The sequence below is a fragment of the Homo sapiens genome, chromosome 13, assembly GCF_000001405.40.
Source record: "Homo sapiens chromosome 13, GRCh38.p14 Primary Assembly".
Classification (NCBI taxonomy): Eukaryota; Metazoa; Chordata; class Mammalia; order Primates; family Hominidae; genus Homo; species Homo sapiens.
In genome coordinates, this window is record NC_000013.11 from 19609627 (window position 1) to 19631996 (window position 22370).

Sequence of the window (22370 nt, forward strand, 5' to 3'; positions counted from 1 at the left end):
TTTTCGTATGCTTCTTGGCCATTTGTACATCTTCTCAAAAGAAATGTCTTCGTCTTTTGCTCTTTTTAAAATCAGGTTATTTGGTTTTTGTTGTTCAGTGGTAGGAGTTCTTTGTATCTTCTGGATACTAAACCCTTATCATAAATATAATTTAAATAGTTCCTTCTAGTCTGTATGTTGCCTTTAATTTGTTGATTATTTCCTTTGCTATACAGAAATTTTTGAGTTTCGTGTGGCCTCATTTGTCTGTTTTTGCTTTTGTTGCCTATGCTTTTGGTATCATAGCCAAGAAACCATTGCCAAATCCAATGTCATGAAGATTTCCCCGTTTTCTTCCAGGAGTTTTAGAGTTTTCCATCTTTCATTTAGATCTTTTATTTTTTGAGTCAGAGTTTCACTCTTGTTGCCCTGGCTGAAGTGCATGGCGTGATCTCGGCTCACTGCAACCTCTGCCTCCTGGGTTCAAGCAATTCTCGTGCCTCAGCCTCCCAAGTAGCTGGGATTACAGGCATGCGCCACCATGCCTGGCTAATTTTTGTATTATTAGTAGAGTCGGGGTTTATCCCTGTTGGTCAGGCTGGTCTCGAACTCCCAACCTCAGGTAATCAGCCTGCCTTGGCCTCCCAAAGTGCTGGGATTACAGGCGTGAGCCACCACACCTAGCCTCATTTAGATCTTTAATCCATTTTTAGCTAATTTTTTTTTGAGATGGAGTCTCTCTCTGTCACCCAGGCTGGAGTGCAGTGGCATGATCTCAGCTCACTGCAACCTCTGCCTCCCGGGTTCAGGTGATTCTCCTGTCTCAGCCTCCTGAGAGGCTGAGTGATGTTCCCCTTCCTGTGTCTATCTGGTATTACAGGCGTGTGCTACCATGCCCTGCTAATTTTTGTATTTTTAGTAGAGACAGGGTTTCACCATGTTGCCCAGGCTGGTCTCAAATTCCTGACCTCAAGTGATCCACCCGCCTTGGCCTCCCAAAGTGCTGGGATTATAGGCATGAGCCACCATTCCCAGCTCATTTTTAGCTAATTTTTTATATGCTGGAAGGAAAAGATCCAACTTCATTTTTTTTGATTTTAGATATCCAGTTTTCCAGCAGTGTTTGTTGAAGAAACTGTCCTTTCTCCATCGTGTGGTCTACTCACCCTTGTTGAAGATCATTTTACCACATACATGAGAGTTTATTTCTGGGCTCTTTATTCTGTGCCATTGGTCTATATGTCTATATTTAAGTAAGGATCACAGTGTCTTCATTACTGTTCCTTTCTAATATGTTTTGAAATCAGAAAGTGTGAGGCCTCCATTTTTGTTCTTTTTCAAGATTGTGTTGGCTATTCAAGGTCCTTTGCAATTCAATATGAATTTTAGGATCTTTTTTTTCTATTCCTGCAAAAAAGGCCCCTGGAATTTTGATAGGGATTGTACTGAACTGTAGATCACTTTGGGTTGTATGGACATTTTAACAATATAAAATCTTCCAATCCATGAACATGGAATGTTTTTCCATTTATTTTTGTCTTCTTTCATTTCTTTCAGCAATGTCCTGTAGTTTTCAGTGTGTAAGTCTTTCACCTCCTTGGTTAAGTTTATTCCTAAGACTTTTATTTTATTTTATTTTATTTTATTATTATTTTATAAGAGAGAGTCTTACTCTGTCCCCCAGGCTGGAGTGGAGTGGCATGATGTCGTCTCACTGCAAACTCTGCCTCCTGGGTTCAAGTGATTCTCCTGCTTCAGCCTCCCAAGTAGCTGGGATTACAGGTGTGTGCCCTGGCTAATTTTTTTTTGTATTTTTAGTAGAGATGGGGTTTCGCCATGTTGGCCGCGCTGGTCTTCAACCCCTGGCCTCAAGTGATCTGCCCGCCTCAGCCTCCCACAGTGCTGGGATTACGGGCGTGAGCCACCGCACCTGGCCAAGAATTTTATTTTTAAATGAAAAATCAAATTTGTATATACTTGTTGTATACATGTTGTTTTGAAATATGTATACAATGTGGAATGGCTAAATTGAGCTAAATAACATATGCATTACCACACCTACTTATCCTTTTTTTGGTGTGGTGAGAACACAAAATCTACTCTTTTAGCAATTGGTTTCAAGAATACAATACATTTTTTTTCTATGTCTTTTTTTTTTTTATACTTTAAGTTCTAGGGTGCATGTGCACAATGTGCAGGTTTGTTACATATGTATACATGTGCCATGTTGGTGTGCTGTACCCTTTAACTCGTCATTTACATTAGGTATATCTCCTAATGCTATCCCTCCCTCCTTCCCCCAACCCCATGACAGGCCCCGGAGCGTGATGTTCCCCTTCCTGTGTCCAAGTGTTCTCATTGTTCAATTCCCACCTATGAGTGAGAATATGCGGTGTTTGGTTTTTTGTCCTTGCAATAGTTTGCTGAGAATGATGGTTTCCAGCTTCGTCCATGTCCCTACAAAGGACATGAACTCATCATTTTTTATGGCTGCATAGTATTCCATGGTGTATATGTGCCACATTTTCTTAATCCAGTCTATCATTGTTGGACATTTGGCTTGGTTCCAAGTCTTTGCTATTGTGAATAGTGCCGCAGTAAACATACGTGTGCATGTGTCTTTATAGCAGCGTGATTTATAATCCTTTGGGTATATACCCAGTAATGGGATGGCTGGGTCAAATGGTATTTCTAGTTCTAGATCCTTGAGGAATCGCCACACTGTCTTCCACAATGGTTGAACTAGTTTACAGTCCCACCAACAGTGTAAAAGTGTTGCTATTTCTCCACATCCTCTCCAGCACCTGTTGTTTCCTGACTTTTTAATGATCACCATTCTAACTGGTGTCAGATGGTATCTCATTGTGGTTTTGATTTGCATTTCTCTGATGGCCAGTGATGATGAGCATTTTTTCATGTGTCTTTTGGCTGCATAAATGTCTTCTTTCGAGAAGTGTCTGTTCATATCCTTTGCCCACTTGTTGATGGGGTTGTTTTTTTCTTGTAAATTTGTTTGAGTTCATTGTAGATTCTGGATATTAGCCCTTTGTCAGATGAGTAGATTGCAAAAATTTTCTCCCATTCTGTAGGTTGCCTGTTCACTCTGATGATAGTTTCTTTTGTTGTGCAGAAGCTCTTTAGTTTAATTAGATCCCATTTGTCAATTTTGGCTTTTCTTGCCATGGCTTTTGGTGTTTTAGACATGAAGTCCTTGCCCATGCCTATGTCCTGAATGGTAATGCCTAGGTTTTCTTCTAGGGTTTTTATGGTTTTAGGTCTAACATTTAAGTCTTTAATCCATCTTGAATTAATTTTTGTATAAGGTATAAAGAAGGGATCCAGTTTCAGCTTTCTACCTATGGCTAGCCAGTTTTCCCAGCACCATTTATTAAATAGGGAATCCTTTCCCCATTTTTTGTTTTTGTCAGGTTTGTCAAAGATCAGATGGGTGTAGATGTGTGGTATTATTTCTGAGGGCTCTGTTCTGTTCCATTGGTCTATATCTCTGTTTTGGTACCAGTACCATGCTGTTTTGGTTACTGTAGCCTTGCAGTATAGTTTGAAGTCAGGTAGCGTGATTCCTCCAGCTTTGTTCTTTTGGCTTAGGATTGTCTTGGCAATGAGGGCTCTTTTTTGGTTCCATATGAACTTTAAAGTAGTTTTTTCCAATTCTGTGAAGAAAGTCATTGGTAGCTTGATGGGGATGGCATTGAATCTATAAATTACCTTGGGCAGTATGGCCATTTTTACAATATTGACTCTTCCTATCCATGAGCATGGAATATTCTTCCATTTGTTTGTGTCCTCTTTTATTTTGTTGAACAGGGGTTTGTAGTTCTCCTTGAAGAGGTCCTTCACGTCCCTTGTAAGTTGGATTCCTAGGTATTTTATTCTCTTTGAAGCAATTGTGAATGGGAGTTCACTCATGATTTGGCTCTCTGTTATTGGTGTATAAGAATGCTTGTGATTTTTGCACATTGATTTTGTATCCTGAGACTTTGCTGAAGTTGCTTATCAGCTTAAGAAGATTTTGGGCTGAGACGATGGGGTTTTTTAGATATACAATCATGTCATCTGCAAACAGGGATAATTTGACTTCCTCTTTTCCTAATTGAATACCCTTTATTTCTTTCTCCTGCCTGATTGCCCTGGCCAGAACTTCCAACACTGTGTTGAATAGGAGTGGTGAGAGGGGGCATCCCTGTCTTGTGCCAGTTTTCAAAGGGAATGCTTCCAGTTTTTGCCCATTCAGTATGATATTGGCTGTGGGTTTGTCATAGATAGCTCTTATTATTTTGAGATACGTCCCATCAATACCTAATTTATTGAGAGTTTTTACCATGAAGGGATGTTGAATTTTGTCAAAGGCCTTTTCTGCATCTATTGAGATAATCATGTGGTTTTTGTCATTGGTTCTGTTTATATGCTGGATTATTTTTATTGATTTGTGTATGTTGAACCAGCCTTGCATCCCAGGGATGAAGCCCACTTGATCATGGTGGATAAGCTTTTTGATGTGCTGCTGGATTCGGTTTGCCAGTATTGTATTGAGGATTTTTGCATCGATGTTCATCAGGGATATTGGTCTAAAATTCTCTTTTTTTTTGTTGTGTCTCTGCCAGGCTTTGGTATCAGGATGATCCTGGCCTCATAAAATGAGTTAGGGAGGATTCCCTCTTTTTCTATTGATTGGAATAATTTCAGAAGGAATGGTACCAGCTCCTCCTTGTACCTCTGGTAGAATTGAGCTGTGAATCCATCTGGTCCTGGACTCTTTTTGGTTGGTAAGCTATTAATTATTGCCTCAATTTCAGAGCCTGTTACTGGTCTATTCAAAGATTCAGCTTCTTCCTGGTTTAGTCTTGGGAGGGTGTATGTGTCGAGGAATTTATCCATTTCTTCCAGATTTTCTAGTTTATTTGCATAGAGGTGTTTATAGTATTCTCTGATGATAATTTGTATTTGTGTGGGATCGGTGGTGATATCCCCTTTATCATTTTTTATTGCGTCTATTTGATTCTTCTCTCTTTTCTTCTTTATTAGTCTTGCTAGCAGTCTATCAATGTTGTTGATCTTTTCAGAAAACCAGCTCCTGGATTCATTGATTTTTTTGAAGGGTTTTTTGTGTCTCTGTCTCCTTCAGTTCTGCTCTGATCTTAGTTATTTCTTGCCTTCTGCTAGCTTTTGAATGTGTTTGCTCTTGCTTCACTAATTCTTTTAATTGTGATGTTAGGGTGTCAATTTTAGATCTTTCCTGCTTTCTCTTGTGGGCATTTAGTGCTATAAATTTCCCTCTACACACTGCTTTGAATGTGTCCCAGAGATTCTGGTATGTTGTGTCTTTGTTCTCGTTGGTTTCAAAGAACGTCTTTATTTCTGCCTTTATTTTGTTATGTACGCGGTAGTCATTCAGGAGCAGGTTGTTCAGTTTCCATGCAGTTGAGTGGTTTTCAGTGAGTTTCTTAATCCTGAGTTCTAGTTTGATTGCACTGTGGTCTGAGACACAGTTATAATTTCTGTTATTTTACATTTGCTGAGGAGTGCTTTACTTCCAACTATGTGGTCAATTTTGGAATAGGTGTGGTGTGGTGGTGAGAAGAATGTATATTCTGTTGATTTGGGGTGGAGAGTTCTGTAGCTGTCTATTAGGTCTGCTTGGTGCAGAGCTGAGTTCAATTCCTGGATATCCTTGTTAACTTTCTGTCTCATTGATGTGTCTAATGTTGACAGTGGGGTGTTAAAGTCTCTCATTATTATTGTGTGGGAGTCTAAGTCTCTTTGTAGGTCTCTAAGGACTTGCTTTATGAATCTGGGTGCTCCTGTATTGGGTGCATATATATTTAGGATAGTTAGCTCTTCTTGTTGAATTGATCCCTTTACCATTATGCAATGGCCTTCTTTGTCTCTTTTGATCTTTGTTGGTTTAAAGTCTGTTTTATCAGAGACTAGGATTGCAATCCCTGCCTTTTTTTGTTTTCCATTTGCTTGGTAGATCTTCCTCCATCCCTTTATTTTGAGCCTATGTGTGTCTGCGCACGTGAGATGGGTTTCCTGAATATAGCACACTGATGAGTCTTGACTTTTTATCCAATTTGCCAGTCTGTGTCTTTTAATTGGAGCATTTAGCCCATTTACATTTAAGGTTAATATTGTTATGTGTGAATTTGATCCTGTCATTATGATGTTAGCTGGTTATTTTGCTCGTTAGTTGATGCAGTTTCTTCCCAGTCTCGATGGTCTTTACAATTTGGCATGTTTTTGCAGTGGCTGGTACCGGTTGTTCCTTTCCATGTTTAGTGCTTCCTTCAGGAGCTCTTGTAGAGCAGGCCTGGTGGTGAGAAAATCTCTCAGCATTTGCTTGTCTGTAAAGGATTTTATTTCTCCTTCACTTCTGAAGCTTAGTTTGGCTGGACGTGAAATTCTGGGTTGAAAATTATTTTCTTTAAGAATGTTGAATATTGGCCCCCACTCTCTTCTGGCTTGTAGAATTTCTGCCGAGAGATCAGCTGTTAGTCTGATGGGCTTCCCTTTGTGGGTAACCTGACCTTTCTCTCTGGCTGCCCTTAACATTTTCTCCTTCATTTCACCTTCGGTGAATCTGAGAATTATGTGTGTTGGAGTTGCTCTTCTTGAGGATTATCTTTGTGGCATTCTCTGTATTTCCTGAATCTGAATGTTGGCTTGCCTTGCTAGACTGGGGAAGTTCTCCTGGATAATATCCTGCAGAGTGTTTTCCAACTTGGTTCCATTCTCCCCGTCACTTTCAGGTACACCAATGAGACGTAGATTTGGTCTTTTCACATAGTCCCATATTTCTTGGAGGCTTTGTTTGTTTCTTTTTATTCTTTTTTCTCTAAACTTCTCTTCTCTCTTCATTTCATTCATTTGATCTTCCATCACTGATACCCTTTCTTGCAGTTGATCGAATCAGCTACTGAGGCTTGTGCGTTCGTCACGTAGTTCTCGTGCCTTGGTTTTCAGCTCCATCAGGTCCTTTAAGGACTTCTCTGCATTGGTTATTCTAGTTAGCCATTCGTCTAATCTTTTTTCAAGGTTTTTAACTTCTTTGCTATGGGTTTGAACTTCCTCCTTTAGCTCGGAGTAGTTTGATCGTCTGAAGCCTTCTCTCAACTTGTCAAAGTCATTCTCCATCCAGCTTTGTTCCGTTGCTGGTGAGGAGCTGCGTTCCTTTGGAGGAGGAGAGGAGCTCTGATTTTTAGATTTTTCAGTTTTTCTGCTCTGTTTTTTCCCCATCTTTGTGGTTTTATCTACTTTTGGTCTTTGATGATGGTGACATACAGATGGGGTTTTGGTGTGGATGTCCTTTCTGTTTGTTAGTTTTCCTTCTAACAGTCAGGACTCTCAGCTGCAGGTCTGTTGGAGTTTGCCAGAGGTCCACTCCAGACCCTGTTTGCCTGGGTATCAGCAGCGGAGGCTGCAGAACAGCGGATATTGGTGAACAGCAAATCTTGCTGCCTGATCGTTCCTCTGAAAGTTTTGTCTCAGAGGAGTACCCGGCCGTGTGAGGTGTCAGTCTGCCCCTACTGGGGGGTGCCTCCCAGTTAGGCTACTCGGGGGTCAGGGACCCACTTGAGGAGGCAGTCTCTCCGTTCTCAGATCTCCAGCTGCGTGTGGGGAGAACCACTACTCTCTTCAAAGCTGTCAGACAGGGACATTTAAGTCTGCAGAGGTTTCTGCTGCCTTTTGTTTGGCTATGCCCTGCCTCCAGAGGTGGAGTCTACAGAGGCAGGCAGGTCTCCTTGAGCTGCAGTGGGCTCCACCCAGTTTGAGCTTCCCAGCTGCTTTGTTTACCTCCTCAAGCCTCAGCAATGGCGGGCGCCCCTCCCCCAGCCTCTGTGCCGCCTTGCAGTTCAATCTCAGATTGCTGTGCTAGCAATGAGTGAGGCTCCATTGGCGTAGGACCCTCCAAGCCATGTGCAGGATATAATCTCCTGGTGTGCCGTTTGCTAAGACTGTCGGAAAAGCGCAGTATTAGGGTGGGGGTGACCCGATTTTCCAGGTGCCGTCCGTCACCCCTAGGAAAGGGAATTCCCCTACCCCTTGCACTTCCTGGGTGAGGCAATGCCTCGCCCTGCTTCGGCTCAGGCTCGGTGCACTGCACCCAGTGTCCCGCACCCACTGTCCTGCACCCACTGTCCGACAGTCCCCAGTGAGATGCACCCAGTACCTCAGTTGGAAATGCAGAAATCATTCGTCTTCTGCATTGCTCATGCTGGGAGCTGCAGACTGGAGCTGTTCGTATTCGGCCATCTTGGCTCCACCTCAGTCACTTTTCTTTTGTTGCTTTCAAAATTCTCTTTGCAATTTTGACAATATGTGATTATAGTATGACTCTATATAGGTTTTGCTGAGATTATTTTTATTGGAGTTTGTTGAGCTTCTTGAATTTGTATGGCAATTTCTTTCCTCAAATTTGGGAAATTTGGGGTCTGATATGGGTTGGCTGTGTCTCACCCAAATCTCATCTTGAATTGTAACTCTCACAATTCCCATGTGTTGTGGGAGGAACCTGGTGGAGGTGATTGAATTATAAGGGTGGGTCTTTCCTGTGATGTTCTCATGATGGTGAGTGAGTCTCATGAGATCTGATGGTTTTTAAAAAAACGGGAGTTTTCCTGCACAAGCTCTCTTCTCTTGTCTGCTACAATGTGAGATGCGCCTTTCACCTTTCGCCATGATTGTGAGGTCTCCCCAGCCACATGGAACTGTAAGTCCAATATATCTCTTTCTTTTGTAAACTGCCCAGCCTCAGGTATGTCTTTATCAGCAGCATGAAAACAGACTAATACAGGGTCATTATTTCTTCAAGTAGGATCTCAATGCTGTCTCTCTTCTATGTTTGGGATATCCGTAGTCCATATGTTGTTTCATTCGATGTTGTCCCATAAGCTCCTTAAGTTCCCTTCATTTTTCTTCATTTTTTTCCCTCTGACTCAATAATTTCAAATGAACTGTTTTCAAAGTTACTGACTCTTTCTTCTCTTTGATCAAGTATGAACCCTCCAGTCAATTTTTCCATTCAGTTATTATATTCTTCAGCTCCAGAATTTTCATTTGGTTCTTTTCTATAGTTTCTGTCTCTTTGTTGATACCCTCATTTTGTACATGCATTGTTTTCCTGATTTTGTTTTGTGGTGTATGTTCTCTTTTAGCTCATTGAGCATCTTTAGGATGATTATTTTGGATTATTTGTCAGGTAATTAAGAGATCTCCATATCTTTAGGGTCAGTTTCTAGAGATTTATTGTATTTATTTGGGCCATGTTTCTCCGCTTCTTTGTATGCTTGCAATCTTTTTTTAAGCGTTGGGCATTTCAGGCTGGCTTTATACAGGGTAAGACCTTCACCAGTCAACCCGCTAGAGATTCTAGGGCTTTTTCTAACTTCTTTTTGGCAATAAGTCTTTTCTGGGCTGTGGATATAATTCCTCAAAGGTTTGCTTGCCTCTTTTCTGCAGCCCATAATCTCTTGCTCCCCTTGGTGTCTGTCTGTGGTACTACAGTCTTATTGTTGCCATAACAAGCTGTGGCACTCACCTTTGATCTCAGTGACCCCAGCCTGGCATTTAAACCGCTGTTTCCATCAGCACTCCAAGTCAGGAGAGATAGAAATCTGCTCCTTGGGCGAACTGTCAAAAGGCCTGCGCATTGGACTCATGGTTGGTTCCCTTCTCTTTTTCTCTCTTGAGGGAGAAGAGGATTGGAAATTTTCTTCCAATTATACCACAGTGTGCTAGGGATAATAGGTAGGGTGACAAATAATCTCTCCTTGGCCACACTTTAGTCAGATTCCTCTGAACCCTCTACTTAACCAGGACTTGACCTTTGAGCTCCTGTATTCATCTTTGCATCACAAAACTATTTCTTGCAGTTTTAGCAAGAATCCTCCACTCTTGACATCTAATCAAATTCATCATCCTCCACCATCCTCCAGATGACATTCGATCATCCTGGTCTGCCTTCAGCAAGAATCCTGTCAAATCAGTTTTACCAGAATGTCACCCTTCCCTTGACGTTGCCTCTTAGTAATTTTCCATCCAATGCCCGCCTCTACCCCCACCCCACCACCACCCTGCACTCTGCTCTTTGACTGTAAATCCCCACTTGTCTTGCTGTAACTATGACAATTGTCCTTGCTGTTCTCTACCAGTGGCAAGTAAAATGCCACACCGTTTCCTACCTGTTTCATTGCATCTCTTGGCTTTGTGCACCTTTGGGTGCTGCAAACTCTCAACTGGTTTTTGGAGTTCTCAGGCAATTTTGTCCATATGATGTTGTTAAGTTGATGTCTCTATGGGAGAATGAGGGTCTGGGGTTTCCTATTCTCCATCTTGCTTATATCACTCAGCACACTGTTACTTCATAAGTACATCAAAACTGGACTTTTTTGTTTTGTTTTTTTGGAGATGGAGTCTCACTCTGTTGCCCAGGCTGGAGTGGAGTGATGCGATCTCGGCTCACGGCAACCTCCACCTCTTGGGTTCAAGCAATTCTCCTGCCTCAGCCTCCCAAGTAGCTGGTATTACAGGCGCACGCCATCATGCCTGGGTAATTTTTGTATTTTTAGTAGAAACGGGGTTTCACCATGTTAGCCAGGCCGATCTCAAACTCCTGACCTCAGGTGATCCACCTACCTGGGGCCTTCCAAAGTGCTGGGATTACAGGCGTGAGCCACCACGCCCGGCCCAAAACTGGACTTTTTTGATCTTCCTCTCCAAAACCTGCTTTACCACGGTGTTCCTTAAACAACAGAAAGACAACACCTGCTGCCATACAGTACTTAAACTAGAAACTTAGGAATCATCCTTACCTCTGCCCTCTCCTGCCATGTCAAATTATTAACCAAGTATTCTTGATTTTGCTTCATAAATAGTTATCAAATCTGCCCCCATCTCTTTACTGCCACACAAAGCCATCCCTTTTCATTTGGATGATTATTAACAGTCTCTTTAGGCCGGGCGCGGTGGCTCACAACTGTAATCCCAGCACTTTGGGAAGCTGAGGCGGGCGGATTACAAGGTCAGGAGATCGAGACCATCCTGGCTAACACAGTAAAACCCCGTCTCTACTAAAAATACAAAAAATTAGCTGGGCATGGTGGCGGGCGCCTGTAGTCCCAGCTACTTGGGAGGCTGAGGCAGGAGAATGGCATGAACCCGGGAGGCGGAGCTTGCAGTGAGCTGAGATCCTGCCACTGCACTGCAGCCTGGGCGACAGAGTGAGACTCCGTCTCAAAAAAAACAAAAACAAAAAAGCAGTCTTTTTTTTTTTTTTTTTTAAACAGGGTCTTACTCTGTCTCCCAGCCTGGAGTGCAGTGGTGTGTGATCACAGTTCACTGCAACCATGACCTCCTGGGCTCTAACAATCCTCCCACCTCAGCCTACCTAGTAGCTGGGACTATAGGCATGCAGCATGGTGCCTGGTTAATTTTTTTAACTTTTGCTGACATGATGTCTCACTATGTTATGTTGCCTAGGCTGGTCTCAAACTCCTGACCTCAAGCAATCTTCCCACTTCGGCCTTTAAAATCACGCTGGGATTACAGGCGTGAGCCACCATGCCTGGTTTATAACAATCTCTTAATTGGCTTTCCTGACTTTAACTCCTTCAATTTAATCTCCATAGTGTAGGTAGAGCAATTCTAAAATGCATATGTGGCCCTGTCATTCTGCCACTTAAAACCTTTCAGTGTCTCTCTACTGTCTTAGAAATAAATTCTAGCCTCTTTTACAAAGGTTACACAGCTATTTATTGTTTACAATCCCCTGCTCACCCCTCCAGACTCACAAAACAAATAGTTATTTGGTCCAAAATGTCAATAATGTGTGTCAGGGTTGAGAAATCTAGTCCTAGAGGATGGGCTCCAGAAAATGAAGGAGTCAGCCATGAAAGAGGAAGAAACGGAACCCCCACAATAAGAGATCCAACAGGAGAAGGAAGCAAAAGAAATCCCCAGGATTTATACATTATAAATTAAGAGCAGTGACCAACACCAAGTTATTCCTGCTGCTGTTGGACATCTCCAACTTTGAAGGCTTCCACATTAGCCTGGTGCTTATCTTTCCTTCTTTCATTTTCCTAATGGTTAGGCTATTCCTGTGCCCACTGTCAGTGGTGACGGGGCAGCCTGAGAATCATATTCTGGGATTTCTGTCAGCTTTAGCCTTGGAGCTGGTCCAGAGAGGAACAAACTTCAGATGCTCTGAAAGTCTTAATATGGGCCAGGCATGGTGGCTCACACCTGTAATCTCAGCACTTTGGGAGTCCAAGGCAGGCACACTGCTTGAGCCCAGGCGTTTGAGACCAGCCTGGGCAAGATGGTGAGACCCCATCCCTACAGAAAAATACAAAAAATCAGCTGGGATAGTGGCACATGCCGGTAGTCCCAGCTACTCAGGAGGCTGAGGTGGGAGGATCACCTGAGCTTGGGAGGTTGAGGCTTTAGTGAGCCATGATAATGCTATTGCACTCCAGCCTGGGTGACAGATTGAGACTCGGTCTCAAAAAAAAAAAAAAGAAAAAGGAATAGAAAGTCACAATCTGAAATCGATGGGACTGAGAGCCTCTCACATAGAAAAGTTGATCCTGCTGAAAAAGTGGATTAAAAAGGAATTTAGGGTCTTGCTTGTTGGTTGCTTCTGTCCGTGGAGTCTTGCATTTCAGTTTCCCTATTAGGAGGCTGGATTGGTAAAAGCCTACCCTGAGTGCCAGACTAGTCTGGGAGGAGTCTTACTACCGGGTTGTTGAGGCTCTTGTTTACACCTTGGGGAAACAGGCTTCCTGTAACTCTACCTGACTATTCTAGCAGACTTAGAATAGATGACGGGGGAGTGGACAGCTGGCAGCCAATAGCACCACTCTGTCTCTGCAACTGTAAAACTAAATTAACCAGGAATTTATCTGAGAGCTGTTGGGGTCTAGAAAAAGAACATCAGAACAAACCTAAAGAAATTGACAAAAAGGAATAATGAAGATAAAACAAAATAAGGAATTAAAGGAAAAAGTCAAATAGCAATAGATTGCTAGGTAAAACCAAGGGCTTATTCCAAAAAATAAACAAACCCTTGGTAAACCTGAGCAAGGAACAATTAAGAGAACCCAGGCGGGGCACGGTGGCTCACACCTGTAATCCTAGCACTTTGGGAGGCTGAGGCGGGTAGATTGCCTGAGCTCAGGAGTTCGAGGCCAGCCTAGGCAACATGGTGAAACCCCATCTATACTAAAATACAAAAAATTAGCCGGGCGTGGCAGCATACACGTGAAGTCTCAGCGACTCAGGAGGCTGAGGCAGGAGAATTGCTTGAATCCAGGAGGCAGAGGTTGCAGTGAGCCAAGATTGTGCCACTGCACTCCAGCCTAGGACAGAGCGAGACTCCGTCTCAAAAAAAAAAAAAAAAAAAAAAAAAGAGAGAAAACCCAAATACAGAACACCAGATATGAAGAAGGGGGAAAATACATATATGAATGAAATTAAAGAATTATAAGAGGCCAGACATGGTGGCTCATGTCTGTAATCTCAATACTTTGGGAGGCTGAGGCAGAAGCATCACTTGAGGCCAGGAGTTAGAGACCAGCCTGGGCAACATAGCGTGATCCTGCCTCTTCAAATAAAATAAATTAGCCAGGCATGGTGGTGCATGCCTGTAGTCCCAGCTACTTGGGAGGCTGAAGCAGGAGGATCACTTGAGCCCAGGAGTTTGATGCTACAGTAAGCCGTGATCGTGGCACTGCAATCAGCAAGACCCTGTCTCAAAACAAACAAACAAAAAAACCCAAGCCGATTTATAAGATAATTCCATATACAACTTTATGCCCATACATTTCAAAATCTCAGTGAAATGAACAGATTTCTGGGAAAATAAATAAATTATCAAAATTAGAACAAGATGTAAAAAGCCTGAATAACCTCATAATCTGTAGGGGAACTGCTCCATGATGGCCCTGGTCACCTTGCACTGTCATCATAGGACATACGGGCAAAAGCTTAAACCACAGCTATCCTGAGTCCTGTGATACTCCTGGAACACAAAAGGATGGGGCTTGAGAGGAGCTGCCATGGGGCTTCTCCCACCTGCCTCCTTTTCCCCACCAAGGATGCTGCCAGAGAGTTTCTTGTGGCCATCCAGTTCTGATGAGGTCTAAGGCTCAGGCTAAAAATCTCTGCAGCTGCAGTCTAACATCAGCTCCTCAGCAACGTGGTTATCTCACAACTCATTTCACAGTGATCTAGCTCCTTTTGCTTCCATGTTCATTTTGGGGTGTGGGACAAGGACCATGGGGAACTGACATATTTGACTACCCTTCCTTTTGCTGTTTATGTAAGTAATAAACCATCTAAATCTAAAGAGGGGCCGGGTGTGCTGTCTCACACCTGTAATCCCAGCACTTTGGAGGCTGAGGTAGGCGGATCATTTGAGGTCAGGAGTTGGAGACCAGCCTGGCCAACATGGTGAAACCCCATCTCTACTAAAAATACAAAAATTCGCTGGTCCTAGTGGCAGGCACCTGTAATCCCAGCTACTTGGGAGGCTTGAGCTCTGGAGGCGGAGGTTGCAGTGAGCCAAGATCGCACCACTCTACTCTAACATGGGCATCAGAGCAAGACTGTTTCAAAAAAGTTAAAGAAATTAAAGAAAAATAAATCTAAAGAAGGCTTGTTACGTCTTTCCTGGCTGGATCTGTTAGGTGATTTGGTCTTGCCTGCCCTGTGCTTGACATATTCACAGCAGATCAACTGTCTTTTCTTGGTTGGCCAGATTAAGTTATTTAAAAGATTGCAAGTGCCCAGTAGCACAGAGAGCATGGGTAAACACATACTTCCTTACATATTACTGGAAACAAATACAGTTGGTCCTCCAACTGCAGATCATTATGCGTATGATGGTTGCATCTGTACTGACCCATGTACACACTTTTTTTCTTGTCATTATTCTGTAAACAATACAGTATAACAAGTATTTACATAGCATTTACATTGGATTAGCTATTATAAGTAATCTAGAGATGATTAAAATATATGGGAGGATGTTCATAGGTTATATGCAAATAGTACACCGTTTTGTATCAGGGACTTGAGCATCTTTGAAGTTTGGTGTCTGCAGGACATTCTGAAACTAATTGCCCGTGGACATCAAGGGAGATTATACAAGTGAAACAAAATTTGGCAATAGCTATTGTCTTTGTCTGTTTTCTGTTGCTTATAACAGAATACCTGAAAATGGGTAATCTATAAACAAATAAAATTTATTTCTTACAGTTCTAGAGGCTGGATCCAAGGTTAAGGGAGGGGCATCTAGTGAGGGCCTTCTTGCTGGTGGGGACTCTCTCCAGAGTCTCAAGGCAGTGCAAGGCATCACCTGGCAGGAGGCAACACGTGCCAGCTGAGGTTTCTCTTCCCCCCTTACAAAGCCACTAGTCCCACTCCCATGGTAAGCCATTAACTCATTAATCCATTAATCCAGAATGGATTAATCCATTTATGAGGGACACGCCCTCATAATTCAATCACCTCTTAAAGGCCCTGCTTCATGTGAAATGAGTTTGGGAAAGAAAAAACATTCAAACAGTAACATCTATCGAAATTTAAATCACTACTTTCTTTCACTCATAAATTCTACTAATAAGAATTTCACTTCTAGAAATTTATCTTACAGAAATATAGACACACACACATGCACTATATATATCACAGTTTATACGTAGCACCATATATTATATATGTAGCAGTTGTAAAACAATATGCAATAGAGCCCATTTTAAAGATTATGTTCACATGGGGTCAGGCACAGTGGCTCACGCCTGTAATCTCAGCACTTTGAGAGGCCGAGACAGGTGGGTCACTTGAGGTCAGGAGTTTCAGACCAGCCTGGGCAACATGGCAAAACCTCATCTCTACAAAAATACAAAAATTAGCCAGGCGTAGTGGCCTGTGCCTGTAGTCCCAGCTACCCAGGAGACTGAGGTGGGAGGATCACTTGAGCCCAGGAGTTCAAGGTTGTACTGAGCTATGACCATACCACTGCACTCCAGCCCGAATGACCAAAAAAAAAAAAAAAAAGATTATGTGTGTGTTGGTGCTTCTATGTGTATAGGCTAAAAATTTGTGATGTCATATTACAAATTGGTTATCTTTGATGAATGGGAACTTTATTTCTAAAATATATATGGTGTATATATGTATATAGTATTTTAGTGTGTATATATATATGTATATATATATACACACTAAAATAGTATATACTGAAATGGCATATATATATATTAGAGACAGGGTCTTGCTCTGTTGCCTAGGCTGGAGTGTAGCAGCAGGATCATAGCTCATTGCACCATGAAACTCCTGGCTTTAAACATTCCTCCCACCCTGGCCTCTCGAAGTGTTGGAATTGGTGTGAGCCATGGTGCCCAACATTTTTTTTTTAGAGACAGGATCTGATATGGTTAGCCTTTGTGTCCTCACCGAAAATCTCATCTTGAATTGTATTCCTCATAATCCCCACGTGTCAAGGGAAGAGTCAGGTGGAGGTAATTGAATCCTGGGGGCAGTTTCCCCCATGCTGTTCTCATGATAGTGAGTGAATTCTCACGAGATCTGATGGTTTTATAAGGGGCTCTCCCCTGCTTCGCTCGTCTCTTCTTCCTGCTGCCTTGAGAAGGTGCCTGACTTCCTCTTTGCCTTCCACCATGATTGTAAGTTTCCTGTTGGGAACAGGCCCCCCGACATCTGGCCATAAACTGGCCCTAAAACTGGCCATAAACAAAATCTCTGCAGCACTGTGACATGTTCATGATGGTCATAACGTCCACGCTGGAAGGTTGTGGGTTTACTGGAATGAGGGCAAGGAACACCTGGCCCACCCAGGGTGGAAAACCGCTTAAAGCCATTCTTAAACCACAAACAATACCATGAGCGATCTGTGCCTTAAGGACATGCTCCTGCTGCAGATAACTAGCCCAACCGATCCCATTATTTCGGCCCATCCCTTCGTTTCCCATAAGGGATACTTTTAGTTAATCTAATATCTATAGAAACAATGCTAATGACTGGCTTACTCTTAATAAATAACGTGGGTAAATCTCTGTTCGGGGGTCTCAGCTCTGAAGGCTGTGAGACCCCTGATTTCCCACTTCACACCTCTATATTTCTGTGTGTGTGTCCTTAATTCCTCTAGCGCCGCTGGGCTAGGGTCTCCCTGACTGAGCTGGTCTTGGCAAGTGGCATCCATCTTGGGGCCACAAATACAGGTTGAAGGGTTGCCAGAGCGATGGTTGGAGAACGTGGAACTAGCTGGAGGACACCCGAGTACTCTTAAAGCAATCCCCGGGGTGAGTAAGAAGGGGAGCTCAGAAGCATCAGGGTAACAATGGGACAAGTGTGGGCTGTGGTTCATTCCACCTTTTGGAACTTTTTCACACTGATGGGGAGGAGGAAGGAGAGTATAACAAAGTAACAGAAGAGGTTACAGAGCAGGTTTATTTGCCAGCTAAAGCTAAAGCAGCAAAGGAGGGAGAGGTTCATCCCTACCCTTCTGCACTCCCTCCTTATTATTTTGAAGAAAAAGACCCTCCAGATCTTTCTTTTCCAGAGGACACTGGGCAAAAAGTAGTTGCCCCAGTGACTGTTCAAGCAGCGCCTCAAGTGACTGCTCTTAGTTCTATTCAGGCAGAAATTCAGCAAGCTAGATGAGAGGGTGATATAGAGGCTTGGCAGTTACCTGTTAGAATACACCCCCCAGATCAACAGGGAAATATTATAGCTACAGTTGAGCCTTTTCCTTTTAAATTCGGGAAAGCACATTTAGTTGATTATATCAAGGCCTGTGATAGTATCAGAGGTAATCTGCATAAAGCTACTTTTTTGGCATAGGCAGTGGCAGGACTGAGAGTGGATAAAGGAAATACTCCATTTCCTGGAGCTTGTTTTAATTGTGGGAAGCATGGTCATACTAAAAAAGAATGTAGAAAAAATCAGCGAGTCAGGCCGCCAGATAGGGGAAAAAAGAAAACTGCTGAGCCTGAAATATGTCCAAAATGTAAAAAAGGAAAACATTGGGCTAATCAGTGTTACTCTAAGTTTGATAAAAATGGGAACCCAATTTCAGGAAACGCCATGAGGGGCCCATCCTGGGCCCGTTCTAAACCGGGGCATTTCTAGCTCAGGCCATTCCCTTACCCCTATACAATGTCTGTCCCCCGCCACAGCCGGTAGTGCCACAGTAGATTTATGCTGCACAAAAGCTGTGAGCCTTCTGCCTGGGGAAACCCCGCAAAAGGTCCCAACAGGAGTCTGTGGACCCTTGCCAGCAGGGACGATAGGATTACTTTTAGGAATGTCTAGTTTAAATTTAAAAGGGGTCCAAATACATACAGGAGTCACTGATTCAGATTACAATGGGGAAATTCAAATTGTTACATCTACTTCTGTTCTCTGGAAAGCAGAGCCAGGAGAGCATATAGCACAGCTCCTGATTGTGTCGTATGTGGGAATAGGAAAAAGTGAAATTAAACGAACAGGAGGATTTGGAAGCACAAATAAACAAGGCAAAACAGCTTATTGGGTGAATCAAATTACTGATAAACATCCTACCTGTGAAGTAACTATTCAGGGAAAGAAATTTAAAGGTTTGGTAGATACAGGAGTGGACATTTCAATCGTTTCTCTACAGCACTGGCCGTCCGCGTGGCCAATTCCACCCACTCAATTTAACAGAGTTGGAGTTGGTAAAGCCCCTGAAGTATATCAAAGTAGTTATATTTTGCATTGTGAAGGGCCTGATGGACAACCTGAGACTATTCAACCAATTATAACTTCTGTACCTATAAATTTATAAGGGAGAAATTTATTACAACAATGGGGAGCACAAGTTCTAATTCCAGAACAATTATATAGCCCTCAAAGTCAACATACAATGCATGAAATGGAGTATGTCCCTGGTATGGGACTAGAAAAAAATTTGCAAAGTTTGAAAAAACTGCTTCAAGCGGAAAGACAAAGTTCCTGCCAAAGATTAGGATATCATTTTTGATGGTGGCCATTGTTAAGCCTCCAGAACCTATACCTTTAAAATGGTTAACAGATAAGCCAATTTGGATAGGACAGTGGCCGCTAAGTAAAGAGAAACTGGAGGCTTTAGAGAAATTAGTTACTGAACAATTAGAAAATGAGCACGTAACTCCAACATTTTCCCCTTGGAATTCTCCAGTTTTCGTAATTAAGAAAAAATGAGGTAAATGGAGACTGTTAACTGACTTAAGAGCCATCAATTCAGTTATATAACCTATGGGAGCATTACAGCCAGGATTGCCTTCTCCTGCTATAATTCCAAAAAATTGGCCTTTAATAGTCATAGATTTAAAAGACTGTTTCTTTACTATCCCTTTAGCTAAGCAAGACTGTCAATGGTTTGCATTTACAATTTCTGCAGTAAACAAACTGCAGCCTGCTAAGTATTTTCATTGTTTTACAGATGGGTCTAGTAATGGTAAAGCTTCTTATTCTGGCTTGAAAAGTAAAGTTTTTCAGACGCCCAATACTTTAGCTCAAAAAGAGCTTGTAGCTGTAATTGAGGTATTGACTGCTTTTGATATGCCTATTAATGGGATTTCTGATTCTTCATATGTGGTTCATTCCACACAGTTAATTAAAAATGCTCAGTTACTATTTCATACAGATAAACAACTGATGACAAAAACAAAAAAGGGGGAGAAATAGGCATTACGGGACAGCCCATACACAACTGAATCTAGCATTATTAACTTTAAATTTTTTGAGCCTGCCCAAAGGCCAGATGTTATCAGCAGCTGAACAGCATCTACAGAAACCAGCTGCAAAGACAGAAGCAGAACAACTGGTTTGGTGGAGAGATCCAATAACAAAAAGTTGGGAAATAGGTAAAATAATAACTTGGGGTAGAGGTTATGCTTGTGTTTCTCCAGGCCAAAATCAACAGCTGATTTGGATACCATCAAGACACCTGAAACCTTATCATGAGCCAGATTCCGGGAGGATCCCGAGGACCCCTCAGTTGCAGCCATGTTGAGACTGATGGCTGAGGAGGACCCCAACTGTCACAAGCAACACCCGTCTAACACAGCCACCCACCTGGGGACAGATCAAGAAGCTGTCACAGATGGCGGAAGAAAACCTGAGGAAAGCGGGACAGCCAGTCACAATGGGTAATTTAATGGTAGCTATGATAGCGGTGATCACCATTGCCGTAAGTATTCCTTCAACAAGAGCTGACACAGAGAACAATTATTCTTATTGGGCATATTTATCAATCTTGGCTGGCAATAATGCCTGGATGTAATCACTCTATCACACAGTTACACATGCTTTCTGATCTCAGTATTTACCATAATAAATCTGCTCCTATAATTGAGGCATACCGCCCTCAAAAACCTATTTGTACACAGGATTGGACCCAGTTAGACAAAATGAACATACTTGTTTAGGAAGATTGCATTGCAGAACAGGCAGAGGTGCTGCACAACGATTCCTATGGAATCATTATTAATTGGTCCCCTAAGGGGATGTTTAGCTTGAATTGCACCTCTCAGTCTGTGTGCCACTGCTACACTATGTTTAGATGATCTGAACAAAATGGTCAGATGGTAGAAATGATAAAAAGTACGGCAAGAGTTCCTCTTATCTGAAACCATGGCGGTATAGTGGCACCTCAACCTCAGATGATATGGCCCGTTGTAGGAGCTAAACATAAGATAAGGATTTGTGGCTTAATAAGATCAAAAATTTGGGAAAGAATAAAAAAGCATCTAGAAAGACACTCTACAAATTTGTCTTTAGATATTGCAAAATTAAAAGAACAAATATTTAAAGCATCCCAGGCACACCTGACCTTAATGCCAGGAACTGGAGTGCTTGAAGGAGCTGCAGACAGATTAGCAGCTAGTAACCCATTAAAATGGATAAAAACACTTGGAAGCTCTGTGATTTCAATGATGATTGTGCTTTTAATTTGTGTTGTTTGTATAGTCTGCAGATGCGGATCCTGACTCCCGCGAGAAGTAGCTCACCATGACAAAGCTGCCTTGGCTTTTATTGCTTTGCAAATCAAAGAAGGGGAACATGTTGGGAACAGCACCCCCCCCCCCAAAATCTGGCCATAAACTGGCCCCAAAACTGGCCATAAACAAAATCTCTGCAGCATTGTGACATGTTCATGATGGCCATGACACCCACGCTGGAAGGTTGTGGGTTTACTGGAATGAGGGCAAGGAACACCTGGCCCACCCAGAGCGGAAAACCGCTTAAAGGCATTCTTAAACCACAAACAATAGCATGAGCGATCTGTGCCTTAAGGACATGCTCCTGCTGCAGATAACTAGCCAAACCCATCCCTTTATTTCGGCCCATCCCTTCATTTCCCATAAGGGATACTTTTAGTTAATCTAATATCTATAGAAACAATGCTAATGTCTGGCTTGCTGTTAATAAATACGTGGGTAAATCTCTGTTCGGGGCTCTCAGCTCTGAAGGCTGTGAGACCCCTGATTTCCCACTTCACACCTCTATATTTCTGTGTGTGTGTCTTTAATTCCTCTAGCGCCACTGGGTTAGGGTTTCGCCAGCCAAGCTGGTCTTGCCATTTCCTGAGGCCTCCCCAGCCAAGCTGAACTGTGAGTCAGTTAAACCTCTTTCTTTTATAAATTACCCAGTCTCTGGCAGTTCTTCATAGCAGTATGAAAACGGACTAATACAGGATCTCACTCTGTGTCACCCAGGCTGGAGTGCAGTGGTGCTCAGGCAAGCCACAGTCCTTTTGCCTCAGCCTCCCAAATAGCTGGGACTACAGGTGCGTGCCACCATGCCCAGCTAGTTTTTTTTTTTTTTTTTTATCTTTGTAGAGATGGTTTCTCACTATATTGCCCAGGCTGGTCTTGAACCCTTGGCCTCAACATCTCAGGTGATCCTCCACCTCAGCCTCCCAAAGCACTCACTGGAATTACAGGTATGAGTCACCATGCCTGACAGACAGACAGACATATATATATATGTGTGTGTGTTTTTTTTGAGACGAGGTCACACTCTGTCACCCAGGTTGGAGTGCAGAGGCACAATCTCAGGTCACTGCAACCTTTGCCTCCCAGGCTCAAGGGATCCTCCCACCTCAGCCTCCCTAGTAGCTGGGGCCACTGGCATGAGCCACCACGCCCAGCCAATTTTTTGTATTTTTGGAAGAGACAGAGTTTTGCCATGTTGCCCAGCCTGGTCACGTACTCCTGAGCGCAGACGATCCTCCCACCTCAGCCTCCCAAAGTTCTGGGATTACTGGTGTGAGCCACCGTGCCCGGCCTTATGTATTTTTTAATTGAAAACTTTCATCATGAATATGTGTCCTTAAATTTTATTTA